Source organism: Homo sapiens, chromosome 1 (genome assembly GCF_000001405.40).
Source record: "Homo sapiens chromosome 1, GRCh38.p14 Primary Assembly".
Lineage (NCBI taxonomy): Eukaryota > Metazoa > Chordata > Mammalia > Primates > Hominidae > Homo > Homo sapiens.
Genome location: NC_000001.11, coordinates 64,341,959 through 64,358,749, shown reverse-complemented (window position 1 = coordinate 64,358,749; position 16,791 = coordinate 64,341,959). Strand labels below are relative to the sequence as shown.

Genomic DNA, 16,791 nt, shown 5'->3' with positions numbered 1-16,791 from the left:
TCTTACTGATTTTCTTTCCTCTTAGGGCTGACAGCAACTAAAGATTACATCGACACCTCAAAGGAAGAGTGCAGTAAGAAACAGGCAGATAGTTCCCCCAGCAGGCTTCTGGCAGGACTTAGAACTTCTGATTATTTTCATGATGATGGTGATGAAGTAGGAGGAGACGATGGACAAAAATCATTAAATACATATTCAAAAGAAATCTCGAGAATGATACTACACCTCGGTAACTTTAAACCTGACTTTTGTCTATCACTCCATTCCTAGGTGACATTGTTCCCCATATTATAAATAATACCAGTGCAATGTTAAGAAATCCTGGAATGCTGGCTCACCTGGCAAAAAGATGTCAGTTTAGTTTGGTTTCATCAGCGTAATATTATAAAAACTGCAAAATGATCAACTCTCATGACACCTTTTCTGTCCCAGCTAATGAGAAATGGGTTTCTTAATGGCAGGCGCTGACTATATTTTAAGGAGTAAGTACTGATAGATGGACTGATTAGTTCTGAATTCAAGATTCTGTAACATAGCATCTACTGTACTAAAATGACAGCTACTTGTGTATGTGTTATGTGTCTTCCCTGGAAGTTTGCAAGCTTCCTGAGTTTTGGACTCTTTTTGCCCTCACCTTTATATAGCAGGGTGTTGCATGTCATAGGCACTAAACAAACTCATTTATTCAACAGGCTTTTTTTCTGAGACCCACTAGTACACCAGATACTAGCACTGAGATGAAAAAGACAAACCTTTATCCTGGAGAAACTCTGAGTTGGTGGAGAGACAAGCATCTATTATAAATCAGTGAAACCATAGTTTCAGTTATAAATGCTAAAATAGAGAGCTGGGGCTGAAGAATGCCAGTAGAATGCAAGACCGGTTTATAATTAATTATGTTTGGACATAGGGGTGGCAAGTGAAGTTCAGCTTTGTGTTTTCCCACAGGCAAACCAAGTCAGAAACCTTACTGTGTCCTCACGTTCCCTGAAATATTTCCAGCAAGAAAGGCCAAAGGAACAGCATTACCCTCTACCAGCCCCTAACAGGCGGTGGGAAACACCCAGGGAACGCCTCTGCTGAGCTCCCAGATCTTCCCACACCTAGCCTGAGGGCTGTCAAGAGGCCGCTGACCCTGGGGGCGGCGGGGGTGGGGGTAGGGGTGGGAGGTGGGGTTGCTTTGAAAAGTTTTGCTCTCAGCACCTCTGCCAGCTTCCAGGGTAGAGACCTCTCCTGCTAAAAATAGCAGCAGGAGGAAGAGATTCAAAAGCAGGAAGCAGAAAGGGGCTGAAGGAGATGTGGCTCCTAATGGCCTGGAGGGAATAAAGGAAGAAGGGAAGGAAAAGAAGGAAGAGAGGAAGGGAGGAAGGAAGGCAACGTCCTCTGCTGGGAATTTCCAGCTCTGTTACTTCAATGCCTCAACGACGCTGTGAGGTACCTACTATTATTGCCCACTTTTCAGAGCCAAACTAGTTAATTCATACAACTTTATGGAGTGTCTCCTCTGCGAGGCACTGTTGGACGCCCTAAGATACCGTTGAGGCCCTGGTGGGGAAACCGAACCTTGGGGAAGCAGCAGCAGCGTGGGATCCCATCCTCCTTGGGCTAGGCTAGGGGGGCTGCCAGGCGTGGGGAAGGCCTCCTTCCCTGGCATCTCCAAGGCGGCTTGCAAGTGCTTGCAAGGGGCGGGGCAGGGTCCCGGGAGGGAAGAATTTCTCTCTTGCCTGTGAAATCGCTCCAACTGCAGCCCCCAAGAGGATTTACAACCTATTGAGGCTTGGCTCTTGAATATCCATGGAAAGGCATATGAAAAGGGACAGAAAGTTGAGCAGATTCGATGAGACTTTATGATTTCATTTTCATTTCAAAGCCTTGTTAGCAGTTGGGTGGGAACGGGCACAGCAGTCCCCAGGAACGCTCCCTCTTCCTCCTCCAGGCAGGAGGATGTGTGAGCAATCTTGGGTCTGGGGAGGGGGCTGGACCTGGAGAGAACTGGGAAAGGTTGCTTTAGGGCTTTCTTTTGGGAACTGAATTTTAAAGGATAAAACAAAAATATATTCAACAGATCTTTCCAGAACCAGCAGTGTACGGTATCCGGTACTGGGAATGACTAGGAATTAGGATAGAGAAGGTAGTTACAAAGGAATCTGTAAGAAATTAGAACTGTGGATGGAGATGCCAGTCGTTAAGCCTGGGCTCCAGTGGGAGACATCTGGCTGGGAGTCCCAGTTCTGACACTTACTAGAAAAGTCTGGGTAAATCATCTCACTTTTCTGAACCTGTTTCCCAGGAAAATGGGAATAATAATACCAGTCACAAGGAAATGTTGTATGTATTGATTGTAAATGCCTCATAAGTGGTCTCTCTTGCTCACCATTCTCTGAAACTTAAATTAGATCATCATACTCATGCTTAAAAACCCTAAACTTCCCCCATTATACTTGGAATAAACAAATGTTCAAAAGTCTAACAAGCCCCGGGTACTTCCAGCTAATACAGACCAAACCCATCCTCAATACACTTCCCACCATGCCCTGCTCTTTTTCTTCATAGAATTCTAACTACTTGTCCTAATATGGGTCTCTGTTTTCTTCTTTACTGTTTGCCTCCCTTATAAAAGAGCCATCTCTAGGAGAGAAGGGATGGCTTCTAACTTTGTTTAATCCACCGTATACTGACATAACACATGGAACTTTTATATATATATATATATATATATATATATATATATATATATATATGGAATGAATTAGTGAATGAATGATGGAAGAGTGAAAAGTATCTGGTACATAGTAGATAGTTAATAAATGGAAGCTTTTTAAATTCCTATTATTTGTAGTAGGGAGAAGTTTTTGTAACTTTTGGAGAGACTCCCTATGCATGAAATAATTGGAGTGCTGAGCAACTTTACGGTTTAAAAAGTGATTTTGCAAGTAGTATGTCACTGTCATACTCATGACAATCCTCATGACAATCTTAAGAAGTAGGTGTCAGGCCTCTGAGCCCAAGCCAAGCCATTGCATCCCCTGTGACTTGCACTTCAGATGGCCTGAAGTTACTGAAGAATTACAAAAGAAGTGAATATGCTCTGCCCCACCTTAACTGATGACATTCCACCACAAAAGAAGTGTAAATGGCCGGTCCTTGCCTTAAGTGATGACATTACTTTGTGAAAGTCCTTTTCCTGGCTCATCCTGGCTCAAAAAGCACCCCCACTGAGCACCTTGCGACCCCCACTCCTGCCTGCCAGAGAACAAACCCCCTTTGACTGTAATTTTCCTTTACCTACCCAAATCCTATAAAACGGCCCCACCCTTATCTCCCTTCGCTGACTCTCTTTTTGGACTCAGCCCACCTGCACCCAGGTGAAATAAACAGCCATGTTGCTCACACAAAGCCTCTTTGGTGGTCTCTTCACACGGACGCGCATGAAATTTGGTGCCGTGACTCGGATCGGGGGACCTCCCTTGGGAGATCAATCCCCCGTCCTCCTGTTCTTTGCTCCATGAGAAAGATCCACCTACGACCTCAGGTCCTCAGACCGACCAGCCCAAGGAACATCTCACCAATTTTAAATCAGGTAAGCAGCCTCTTCTTACTCTCTTCTCCAACCTCTCTCACTGTCCCTCAACCACTTTCTCCTTTCCACTCTTCAATCTCTCCCTTCTCTTAACTTCAATTCCTTTCATTTTCTGGGAGAGACAAAGGAGACATGTTTTATCTGTGGACCCAAAACTCCGGCGCCGGTCATGGACTGGGAAGACAGCCTTCCCTTGGTGTTTAATCATTTCAGGGATGCCTCTCTGATTATTCGCTCACGTTTCAAAGTTGTCAGACCATGCAGGGACGCCTGCCTTAGTCCTTCACCCTTAGCGGCAAGTCCCGCTTTTCTGGGGAAGGGGCAAGTACCCCAACCCCTTCTCTCCTTGTCTCTACCCCTTCTCTGCTTTTCTGGGGGAGGGACAAGTACCCCTCAACCCCTTCTCCTTCACCCTTAGTGGCAAGTCCTGCTTTTCTGGGGGAGAGGCAAGTACCCCTCAACCCCTTCTCTTTCACTCTTAGCGGCAAGTCCTGCTTTTCTAGAGGAGGGGCAAGTACCCCAACCTCGTATCTCTGTGCCCCAATCCCTTATTTCCGTGCCCCAACCTCTTATATCTCTGCACCCCATCCCTTATTTCCATGCCCTGACCTCTTATCTCTGTGTCCCAACCCCTTTTCCCACTTTTCTGGAAGGTAAGAACCCCCAAACCCCTTCCCTCCATTTCTCTACTCTCTCTTTTCTCTAGGCTTGCTTCCTTCACTGTGGGCAACCTTCCACCCTCCATTCCTCCTTCTACTCCCTTGGCCTCTGTTCTCAAAAACTTAAAACCTCTTCAACTCACAGCTGACCTAAAACCTAAATGCCTTATTTTCTTCTGCAATGCCGCTTGACCCCAATACAAACTCGACAGTAGTTCCAAATAGCCAGAAAATGGCACTTTGAATTTTTCCATCCTGCAAGATCTAAATAATTCTTGTCGTAAAATAGGCAAACGGTCTGAGGTGCCAGATGTCCAGGCATTCTTTTACACATCAGTCCCTTCCTAGTCTCTGTGCCCAGTGCAACTCGTCCCAAATCTTCCTTCTTTCCCTCCCGCCTGTCCCCTCAGCACCAATCCCAAGCGTCGCTGAGTCTTTCTAATCTTCCTTTTCTACAGACCCATCTGACCTCTCCCTTCATCCCCAGGCTGCTCCTCGCCAGGCCAAGCTAGGTCCCAATTCTTCCTCAGCCTCTGCTCCTCCACCCTATAATCTTTTTATCACCTCCCCTCCTCACACCTGGTCCGGCTTACAGTTTCATTCCGTGACTAGCCCTCCCGCTCCTGCCCAGCAATTTACTCTTAAAAAGGTGGCTGGAGCTAAAGGCATAGTCAAGGTTAATGCTCCTTTTTCTTTAACCCAAATCAGATAGCATTTAGGCTCTTTTTCATCAAGTATAAAAATCCAGCCCAGTTCATGACTTGTTTGGCAGCAACCCTGAGACACTTTACAGCCCTAGACCCTAAAAAGTCAAAAGGCCGTCTTATTCTCAAAATACATTTTATTACCCAATCTGCTCCCGACATTAAATAAAACTCCAAAAATTAAATTCCGGCCCTCAAACCTCACAACAGGATTTAATTAACCTCGCCTTCAAGGTGTGCAATAATAGAAAAAAGTTGCAATTCCTTGCCTCCACTGTGAGACAAACCCCAGCCACATCTCCAGCACACAAGAACTTCCAAATGCCTGAACTGCAGCGGCCAGGCGTTCCTCCAGAACCTCCTCCCACAGGAGCTTGCTACACGTGCCGGAAATCTGGCCACTGGGCCAAGGAATGCCCGCAGCCCGGGATTCCTCCTAAGCCGCATCCCATCTGTGTGGGACCCCACTGAAAATCGGACTGTTCAACTCACCTGGCAGCCACTCCCAGAGCCCCTGGAACTCTGGCCCAAGGCTCTCTGACTGACTCCTTCCCAGATCTTCTCGGCTTAGCAGCTGAAGACTGACACTGCCCGATCGCCTCGGAAGCCCCCTGGACCATCACGGAGGCCGAGCTTCTGGTAACTCTCACAGTGGAAGGTAAGCCCATCCCCTTCTTAATCAATATGGAGGCTACCCACTCCACATTACCTTCTTTTCAAGGGCCTGTTTCCCTTGCCTCCATAACTGTTGTGGGTATTGACGGCCAGGCTTCTAAACCTCTTAAAACTCCCCAACCCTCGTGCCAACTTAGACAATACTCTTTTAAACACTCCTTTTTAGTTATCCCCACCTGCCCAGTTCCCTTATTAGGCTGAGACACTTTAACTAAATTATCTGCTTCCCTGACTATTCCTGGACTACAGCTATATCTGATTGCCACCCTTCTTCCCAATCCAAAGCCTCCTTTGCGTCGTCCTCTTGTATCCCTCCACCTTAACCCACAAGTATAAGATACCTCTACTCCCTCCTTGGTGGCCAATCATGCACCCCTTACCATCTCATTAAAACCTAATCACCCTTACCCCACTCAACGCCAATATCCCATCCCGCAGCATGCTTTAAAAAGATTAAATCCTGTTATCACTCACCTGCTACAGCATGGCCTTTTAAGGCCTATAAAATCTCCTGACAATTCCCCCATTTTACCTGTCCTAAAACCAGACAAGCCTTACAAGTTAGTTCAGGATCTGCGCCTTATCAACCAAATTGTTTTGCCTATCCACCCCGTGGTGCCAAAACCATATACTCTCCTATCCTCAATACCTGCCTCTACAACCCATTATTCTGTTCTAGATCTCAAACATGCTTTCTTTACTATTCCTTTGCACCCTTAATCCCAGCCTCTCTTCGCTTTCACTTGGACTGACCCTGACACCCATTGAGCTCAGCAAATTACCTAGGCTGTACTGCCGCAAAGCTTCACAGACAGCCCCCATTACTTCAATCAAGCCCAAATTTCTTCCTCATCTGTTACCTATCTCGGCATAATTCTCATAAAAACACATGTGCTCTCCCTGTCAATCGCGTCCGACCAATCTCTCAAACCCCAGCACCTTCTACAAAACAACAACTCCTTTCCTTCCTAGGCATGGATAGTGCGGTCAGAATTCTTACACAAGAGCCAGCACCACACCCTGTAGCCTTTCTGTCCAAACAACTTGACCTTACTGTTTTAGCCTAGCCCTCATGTCTGCGTGCAGCGGTTGCCACTGCATTAATACTTTTAGAGGCCCTCAAAATCACAAACTATGCTCAACTCACTCTCTACAGTCTCATAACTTCCAAAATCTATTTTCTTCCTCATACCTGACGCATATACTTTCTGCTTCCTGGCTCCTTCAGCTATACTCACTCTTTGTTGAGTCTCCCACAATTACCATTGTTCCTGGCCCAGACTTCAATCCAGCCTCCCACATTATTCCTGATACCACACCTGACCCCCATGACTGTATCTCTCTGATCCACCTGACATTCACCCCGTTTCCCCAAATTTCCTTCTTTCCTGTTCCTCACCCTGATCACACTTGATTTATTGATGGCAGTTCCACCAGGCCTAATCACCACACACCAGCAAAGGCAGGTTATGCTATAGTACAAGCCACTAGCCCGCCTCTTAGAACCTCTCATTTCCTTTCCATCATGGAAATCTATCCTCAAGGAAATAACTTCTCAGTGTTCCATCTGCTTTTCTACTACTCCTCAGGGATTATTCAGGTCCCCTCCCTTCCCTACACATCAAGCTCGAGGATTTGCCCCGCCCAGGACTGGCAAATTAACTTTACTCAACATGCCCTGAGTCAGATAACTAAAATACCTCTTAGTCTAGGTAGATACTTTCACTGGATCGGTAGAGGCATTTCCTACAGGGTCTGAGAAGGCCACCGCAGTCATTTATTCCCTTCTGTCAGACATAATTCCTCAGTTTAGCCTTCCCACCTCAATACAGTCTGATAACAGACGAGCCTTTATTAGTCAAATCAGCCAAGCAGTTTTTCAGGCTCTTAGTATTCAGGGAAACCTTTATATCCCTTACGGTCCTCTGTCTTCAAGAAAAGTAGAATGGACTAAAGGTCTTTTAAAAACACACCTCACCAAGCTCAACCACCAACTTAAAAAGGACTGGACAATACTTTTACCACTTTCCCTTCTCAGAATTCAGGCCTGTCCTCGGAATGCTACAGGGTACAGCCCATTTAAGCTCCTGTATAGACGCTCCTTTTTATTAGGCCCCAGTCTCATTCCAGACACCAGACCAACTTAGACTGTGCCCCCCAAAAAACTTGTCATCCCTACTATCTTCTGTCTAGTCATACTCCTATTCACCGTTCTCAACTACTCATACATGCCCTGCTCTTGTTTACACTGCCGGTTTACACTGTTCTTCCAAGCCATCACAGCTGATATCTCCTGGTGCTATCCCCAAACTGCCACTCTTAACTCTTGAAGTAAATAAATAATCTTTGCTGGCAGGACTATGCTGAATCTCCTTAGGCACTCTCTAATCAGGTGTCCTGGGTCCTCCCAATTCTTAGACCTTTTATACCTGTTTTTTTCCTTCTGTTATTCCATTTAGTTTCTCAATTCATCCAAAACTGTATCCAGGCCATCACCAATCATTCTATACGACAAATGTTTCTTCTAACAACCCCACAATATCACCCCTTACCACAAGACCTCCCTTCAGCTTAATCTCTCCCACTCTAGGTTCCCACGCCGCCCCTAATCCCGCTTGAAGCAGCCCTGAGAAACATCGCCCATTCTCTCTCCATACCACCCCCCAAAAATTTTCGCCGTGCCAACACTTCAACACTATTTTGTTTTATTTTCCTTATTAATATAAGAAGGCAGGAATGTCAGGCCTCTGAGGCAAGCCAAGCCATCGCATCCCCTGTGACTTGCACGTATATGCCCAGATGGCCTGAAGTAACTGAAGAATCACAAAAGAAGTGAATATGCCCTGCCGCACCTTAACTGATGACATTCCACCACAAAAGAAGTGTATAAATGGCCGGTCCTTGCCTTAAGTGATGACATTACTTTGTGAAAGTCCTTTTCCTGGCTCATCCTGGCTCAAAAAGCACCCCCACTGAGCACCTTGCGACCCCCGCCCCTGCCCGCCAGAGAACAAACCCCCTTTGACTGTAATTTTCCTTTACCTACCCAAATCCTATAAAACGGCCCCACCCTTATCTCCCTTCGCTGACTCTCTTTTTGGACTCAGCCCACCTGCACCCGGGTGAAATAAACAGCCATGTTGCTCACAGAAAGCCTGTTTGGTGGTCTCTTCACACGGACGCGCATGAAAGTAGGCAGGCCAGGTATCATAACCCACATTTTACCAACAAGAAAAAGTGAACTCGAATGAAGAAAAATGCTCATCTTCAAAGCCCCACAGCCAGCGAAGTCAAATCAAAGTGCAGATGTGCTGTGTTCCTGATTTGAAGATCAGGTCTGGCACAAGGCGAATAGGAACTGTTTTTGTATGTGCTAGGACACTGAGAGCGCCAGGCACCATCTCTGCCCCAGGGCGCACACACACACACAACATATACACCACACATATCACACCATGTACACACCACACACATAGCACACACACCACACGTACACACACACACCACACATACACACCACATACACCATACCACACACACACCCCACATTTACTCTACACACACCACACCACACACACACACTACACACACCACACACCACACATACAGAGGCAGCACACATACACACCACATACACCACACCACAAACACCATACCACACACCACACATGTACACATACACACCACACATGCACACACCATACATACACACTACATACACTACCTCACACATATACCACACCACACACACCATACCACATCACACATCACATCATACATACACACACCGCACATACACACCACATACACCACACATACCACATCGCATACACCACCCACACACACATCACACACATACCACAAACACACACACATATACATACCACACACCACACCATATACATACACACCACAGATACAGCACACTTGCACACACCACACATACCATACACACACAAGACGCACTCATACACACACCACACATGCACACATACCACACACATATATACACCACCCACATACCACACACATACCCCCCAACACACACATCACACACACCACACATGCACACAGCACATATGTATGCATACACACATATACACACACATACACACACACACACACACACGACCAGCACGGCCAGTGGCATGTCCTATGTTTCCTACAGGCCCCCTCCCTGTAGGGAGTTTTCTACATCAGCAGCCCCAGACAAGAGCTTCTCTGGGAAAATAGGTCACCTGCTTCTCCCTGTGTGCAGGAAGGTGTGAGCTGCACTTGCCCATGGCCTGGGGGCTGCTGCAGAGCAGAGGGAGGCCTGGCCACCAACCATTTTCACTGCCTTTCATCTCGGAACCAAAAATGCTTTGCTTCAGAGCCAGGGACAGAAGCCTTCACATTTCATCTTTCTCTCCCTGTCGCTGTCACCCCACACCACCCCCTCTCCTTTTTTATTTATTAAAGGTTTTCCTGACAAGTAGATGGAGCACCACAGCCTTCAAAGTTCCTGTCCCATCTCCAGGGCCTCATTTTCTCCCTTCCTGATGAAATGACTGCATCTCATAGTAGTCACTGCTGCTTCGTGTGCAGAGGTGAAGTGAAGAGGACCACTCCTGCACCCCCACCACCCTGCTGAATATGCTCATACCCACACCCATACACACACCCCCTACAAACCAGACATACGCACACTCCATACACACTGGACTGTGGGGACTCCCAGGTCCAGAATTCAGTGGAACAAAATGCACTGGCTCTGGTAATGCCCCCCAGGGCTGCAGAGCAGCCCCCATTGCAGTTATTTAGCCCAGGACCAGCTTCTCCTTGATGTACTGAACCCACCTTCCTGATTCTTCTGGCTTTGTATTTGGCCTTTGGGTACTTGATTTGGGTTCTGCCTTGGCTTGTGTGTTAGTTTGAGTTTCATCAAAAGCAGCGCTTGAGCCAGTAGTTTAATTGGGAGGTGCAAGGGACCTCTTAAGAGAATCTCCAAGGGAAGGCAGGGCAGGCAATACTGTGTGTCTGGTGAAGTCAGCTACCCCAGGGGGCAATTAGAGTTCCACTCTATGGGGAAGCTCTGGGAAATGGAACAAACCACAGGCCTTGGAATTATTCTCTCCAAGGAGCCAGGGAGTTGGAGTATTTATACACCAATTCCAGGTGGTCTTTGGTTGAGGGCCATTTCCAAGGGCTTAGCATCCCCAGAGCAGCCTTTCATGGTTCTGAAAGTAAAGCCCTTGGAAACAGGGATGCAGATGCTAGCAAGCTGGAAGTGAATGGTTAGAAAGACCTGGGCCAGGCACTGACAGTGTCCACCATAGGTTGCCAAGCTTGGCTCCTTCCTCAGCCTTCCGTGCCTGACTCATGGTGGGCCTATCACACGCCTGCCCTGGAATTTTGGAACTTGGGAATAAAGAGGTTGAACAAATGTCACTTCCCGACTTCTTCCCACTGTTTGAATAAGTCCAGACTAGTAGAGGAGGAAATGAAGCAGACACACCAAGGGAAATGGAGATGAGTGGAGGAAATAATTCTATGGGGTTTTAGTCCATGGTTTCAGTTGCTTTGAGGGCCAGCTAAGCCGCTTCCTGAGCCTTTAACAAAGTCTCCTTTCCTCCTTAAGCTAGCTTGAGTTGGGTTCTGCTCACTTGAACCCAGTGAGCTCTGACTAATGCCTGGATGTCTTGGGTTGCTTCGCCCCTGCCACTACCCATAAAGAATATTAATAAAAGTAATGATAATAATAATCTTTGCACTGCTGCTAGGTGCCTGTGTTTTCTAAATACTTTGCTATAAAGGGGAAGTGATTATTCTATGAAAAGAATCTGCCGATGATCCTAGATATTTCTTCTTTGTTTTCTAATGACCCTTATTAGGGCCTTAACTCTCTCCACTGGGCTTTGTATTTCATCTGCCCAGTTCCTACCCAGGCGCTGGGTCTTTCTCAGGGAATATTTCCTTAAGATAGGCCTCTTCTCTCAGGCAGTGTCAGATCATACGGCAGGCTACCCTCCCAGTATGTATCTGCATTTAAAAAATAACTTCCATGGCCAGGCGTGGTGGCTAACATCTGTAATCCCAGCGCTTTGGAAGGCTGAGGCAGGTGGATTGCTTGAGCTCAGGAGTTTGAGATCAGCCTGTGCAACATGGTGAAACCCTGTCTCTAACAAAAATACAAAAAGCTGGGTGTGGTGGTGCACACCTGTGGTCCTAGCTACTCAGGAGGCTGAGGTGGAAGGATCACTTAAGCTTGGGAAGTGGAGGTTGCAGTGAGCCGAGATTGCACCACCATACTCTAACCTGGGTGACAAAGTGAGACTCTGTCTCAAAAAAAAAAAAAAATTCCATAGTTTTCCTAAAATTAATATTTTTTTGGCAAAGAGGAAAAACCTCCATTCAAAAGTCGAATTTTTTCCATGCATGCAAATGGAAATCTATTGGCTCATGTAATGAAAATTTCAAGGTTAATAAGCTTCAGATGTAGTTGGATCTGGGAGTGCAAGCAATGTCATTGTAACTTAGTGTTGTTATGTGTCGCAGATCTTTTTCCCTTAGTGCTGGCTTCATTCTCAAATGAGCTCTATCTACAGGGTCATCTCCTTCTTCTTCCCTAGCAGTTTAGGATGACAGCCTGTCACAAAACTCCTAAGGCTGATGTTCATTAGCTTTCATTGGCCAGCATTTGTCTTGTGCCAACCTCTTGACTTTTCTCTGTGGCGGTAGGCATGTGGTACTCCTATACATCATGTCAGAGTAATATGCCTGCCTCTGAGTTCCAGGAGAACAGTTAAGTCTACCTGATTCGTGCGGTCTGGGGTTGAAAAGGAGTGGGTCTCTAAAGGAAAATTGGAACCAGCCATGGTGGCTCACACCTGTAATCCCAGCACTTTGGGAGGCTAAGGCGGGAGGATCGCTTGAGCCCAGGAGTTTGAGACAAGCCTGGGCAACATGGCGAGACCCCATCTCAACAACAACAACAAATTTAAAAAGGAAAATAGGGATGCTGTTTCTGGAGAAGAGGAATTAGATGCAGGGCCCACAGAGACCTTAAGCCCCTGTTCCTGGGGCTCAGCTTCTGGTTGAGAGAACACGTTAGTGTGCTGGAGTGCCAGGCAAAGTGTCTTCAGCTAATTGATAATGTATGTCTAATGTTTTTCTGTTCTGGAAGAAAGGGATGTAGAGAGCAAGATGATAGAAGGGCTCTAAGATGTAGCCAGGGATTCTTGGGATCAGGGAAAAGGAGGGATGAAAAAGGAGGCCAAGGATGCTCAGGACATGCTTCGAGATGTGAACCATTCTGTCTAAGCTGGCTACGTTTTCCTTGAATGCACGGGGTGATATGAATGGTCTCAGCAGTGTCTTAGTCACAACTCCCAATGATGTGATTCACTCAGCATGATTTTCTCAAGATAAGGTGTGTGTGTGTGTGTGTGTGTGTGTGTGTGTGTGTGCAAATGCTGGCATTATGTAAAGGAGTTTTTCTCCTGGGGCTTTTTAATTGGGAGACTGCTCTGCAAACACATTTGGCAAAATCCCATGAGATGAACAAGCTACCTTTGCTCTGAGAGCTAAGGAGGGGTGGGGGTGGGAGTGGTTATTCTGGGAAGCACTACATTAACATGTTCTGGCTGCCAGGAGACTGGAAGACATTGGACAGCCCTCATCTTCATGCATTTCCCAGGGTTCAAAACTTTCACGTGGATTCTGCTTATTTGCCCCCAAAGTACTGATTCTATTGTGTTAACATTTTCTTTAATGATTCAATTTAATCAAAGTGTGGATTTTATGGGGAGGGGGACTAGCTGAGACCTTAAGCAAGTCACAATCCATTGATTCCTAGAGTAGGTCACTATGTAGATGTTGAGAGGCACTGTCTGCCTGAGACCAGAAGATGAGGAGTCATTGTTCACAAAATAATGACTTTTTAAATCCTTGTGATAATTCTGCATGCTGGGGTTCCATTAGTATAACTATTTTACAAAAAAGGAAACTAAGGCACATATAAGTAACTTTCCTTGAGTTACAGAGCTAGGAAAGTGGCAGAGCTGGGATTTGAAGCCAGCCTGGCTGCCTCCAAAGGCCACGTTCTCAATTGTTAATCTCTCCTCCAGAATCAACCTCAGCCGACTTTACCTTGAAAGGCATAAGAAGCGTAGCTACTCCCACCTGTCACCAAAGTACAGAAATTTCTGATGTAGAAACTGTTATCCAGTCTTACTACTTGAATCCCTCCAGTGATGGATGGCTCACTACCTCTCAAAGGAAACATTTAGATTGTTGGTGAATTGTAATGATTAAATAGCTTTTTATTATTTATTAATGAGTTCAAACACCCTCCTGGTAGTTTCTAACCTTGATAATAGTGATAGTACCCCTGTACTGAGCTAGTAGTATGTGCCTGGCCTTGTGCGAAGCATTATCTTTTTTTTTTTTTTTTTTTTTTTTTTGAGACAGAGTCTGGCTCTGTTGCCCAGGCTGGAGTGCAGTGGCGTGATCTCGGCTCACTGCAAGCTCCGCTTTCTGGGTTCATGCCATTCTTCTGCCTCAGCCTCCCCAGTAGCTGGGACTACAGGTGCCTGCCACCATGCCTGGAAAATTTTTTGTATTTTTAGTAGAGATGGGGTTTCACCGTGTTAGTCAGGATGGTCTTGATCTCCTGACCTCGTGATCCGCCCACCTCGGCCTCCCAAAGTGCTGGGATTACAGGCATGAGTCACTGCACCCGGCCTCGGCCTCGCTAAGCATTATCTTAATACCTTGTTTAATCATCACAACAAATTTATCTTATCTACAAATATAGGGAAGAGACTCAGAGAGGTAAAGTAATTTGGCGACAAGGAGAAAATCAGGATTAGAATCCTAGTCTGTCTGAATCCAAAATCATCCCAATAAGCAACAGTGTGTTCCAGGGGCAGAACATTTGCCTTTGGAACAATTCATTTCATTGCCTTTCATTTTTATTTACTGAGACTCTGCTGTGGGGGAAGCCTTGTGCCAGCTTTGCGGGCTCATGCAAAGATGTATACAAGGCAGTGTTTGCCAGGAGCTTCCCCTCTAAAAAGAAACATGGGTGAGTATAGTGGCCCAGCTGGATCCAGCTTCACAGAGAGTGAGCCTTTGGCTGGAGGGCAGATGGAGTGGAGCATGAAGAGACAGGTCAGCTGACCACCTCCTTTTTTATGGGTCTCGTGGACTGACCATAGACATAAGGTCATATTTCCTTTTGCTTCCTCCAAGGTGTTTTTGTTTTTTGTTTTTTTGTTTGTTTTATCAGAGTGCTACGTCTTTGGAAGAAGGAACTCTCCACCTAGCACTGCTTCTGGCCTCAGTGTCGAACCTGAGAAAGGAATGAAGGCACAAGCTGAAGCAAGCACTGGGAGGGTGGTAACTGCCTGGGGCTCTGGGAAAAGCTGCCAGGAGCTTACAGTTGAAGATAGTTATCACTACTTCTCTATAATACAATACTGTGTTCTTCAAACAGAAAGCCTATGAAACCTTTCCTGATGCCCTCAAGCAGGGTTAGTCACTTAGCATTCAGTACACACCCCTGCTGTCTGACTCACTTAAGCAGCATTGTATTATAATTGTGTTTACATACTCTTCTTCGCTAGAATGCCAGCTCTCAGGACTATGGTGTCTTACATTATAAATCTCTCCCACATCTGGAACGACATGTGGGAAATGGCTTACTAGAGCACTTATCACATGCTAATATATGTTATGCATTTTACTTATTTATTTTGTTTATTATCTGGCCCTAACTGTCTGTTTTATACACAAATGTATCCTCAGCACCTAGGACAGTAGTCAGCATAGCGTAGGTGCTCAGTAAATGTTTGTTAGATGAATGACCATTCCTGAGACTGGAGGAGGGGTGAGCGGAGAACCAAGCATCAGGAAGTGGGGTGGTTAACCCAGAGAGTGCACATTGCTGGCTAGGGAATAGCAAGCATTCTCTATAATGGTGGGTTAGTGTGTGAATTATCCTCATTCTCAATTTAATTTTGAAAGTAGCATCCGTTTAACAGTGGTCCCACAGTTGAATCAGTTGAATGATAATCCACTATTTTGATGAGCCAATGATTTAAAAACTATGCCATAAAAGCAATATCGAAAAATTTCAAATACCACCTATTTTTAAAAAAACTTCATTGAATATGTTAATGGGTTATCAAAAAAGACTTTTCCTGATTTGTTGGAATTTCATTAGAGGACTAAAGGCTAAGAACACTCTCACATCCTAGAGATGCTAGAACATCTGTGCCAGACTTGTGGAGAGGTTCTCCTGGCACCAGGTCATAACCCACCTCTAACCTTTAGAAGAGCAAGTTGAAGAGGTCATCTGGAAGGACTGTTTTGGAGACAGTTGTAGGTATGCTGATTTTTGCCTTTCCTACCTGTGGTACTTTACCCTTACATTGGACCATGTGAAAAGAGAGCCCAGAGAATCATTCAGACAACTTAATATGGGTTCCCTGGAATTTGCAGGACCCAGCAACTCTCAAGGGAGAAATCTAAAGGCTGCTAGATGTGGCAGAATGAAATACAGAAAGACCTATACTGATATACTGATAGCTGCACTTCTAGCTATGGAAAGCCAAGGGGTGTAGTTCTTATGGACTAGATAAAGGTTTCATGAAAGGACTATCCTGGGATTATTTAAAAAGGGACCTGGCTGGGGGTGGTGGCTCAAGCCTGTAATCCCAGCACTTTGGGAGGCCGATGTGGGTGGATCACTTGAGGTCAGGAGTTTGAGACGAGCCTGGTCAACATGGCAAAACCGCATCTCTACTAAAAATACAAAAAAATTAGCTGGGCATGGTGGCACACGCCTGTAGTCCCAGTCACTCGGGAGGCTGAAGCAAGAGAATCGCTTGAACCAGGGAGGCAGAGGTTGCAGTGAGCCAAGAGCACGCCATTGCACTCTAGCCTGAGTGACAGAGCAAGACTTCTTCCAAAAAAAAAAAAAGGACCTATCCCAAAAGTACCTCCTGGAGTGATAATGGGACTCAACAGAGGGGTGGACCACGCAATGGCCAGCTGGAGAAGGCAATGCAATCTCAGGGAGGCAGTGCTTGTCTTTAGAAAGGATGCCTCCAGCAGGTAATCTCCAAGGGACCCACCAAACTGTCTTACAGAGGAAAGAGCCGGCAATGGTGCCTCTGCCACATTGGGA

The 16,791-nt window shown here is 46.0% G+C and overlaps 1 annotated feature.

Moving 5' to 3' along the window:
* Positions 8,231 to 8,806: an enhancer, noted in NCBI's record as "NANOG hESC enhancer chr1:64815627-64816202 (GRCh37/hg19 assembly coordinates)". NCBI's record gives its function as "activates a minimal SCP1, AML or CMV promoter by ChIP-STARR-seq in primed H9 embryonic stem cells {active_cell/tissue: H9 hESC(primed)}" and the evidence as "EXISTENCE:reporter gene assay evidence [ECO:0000049][PMID:30033119]".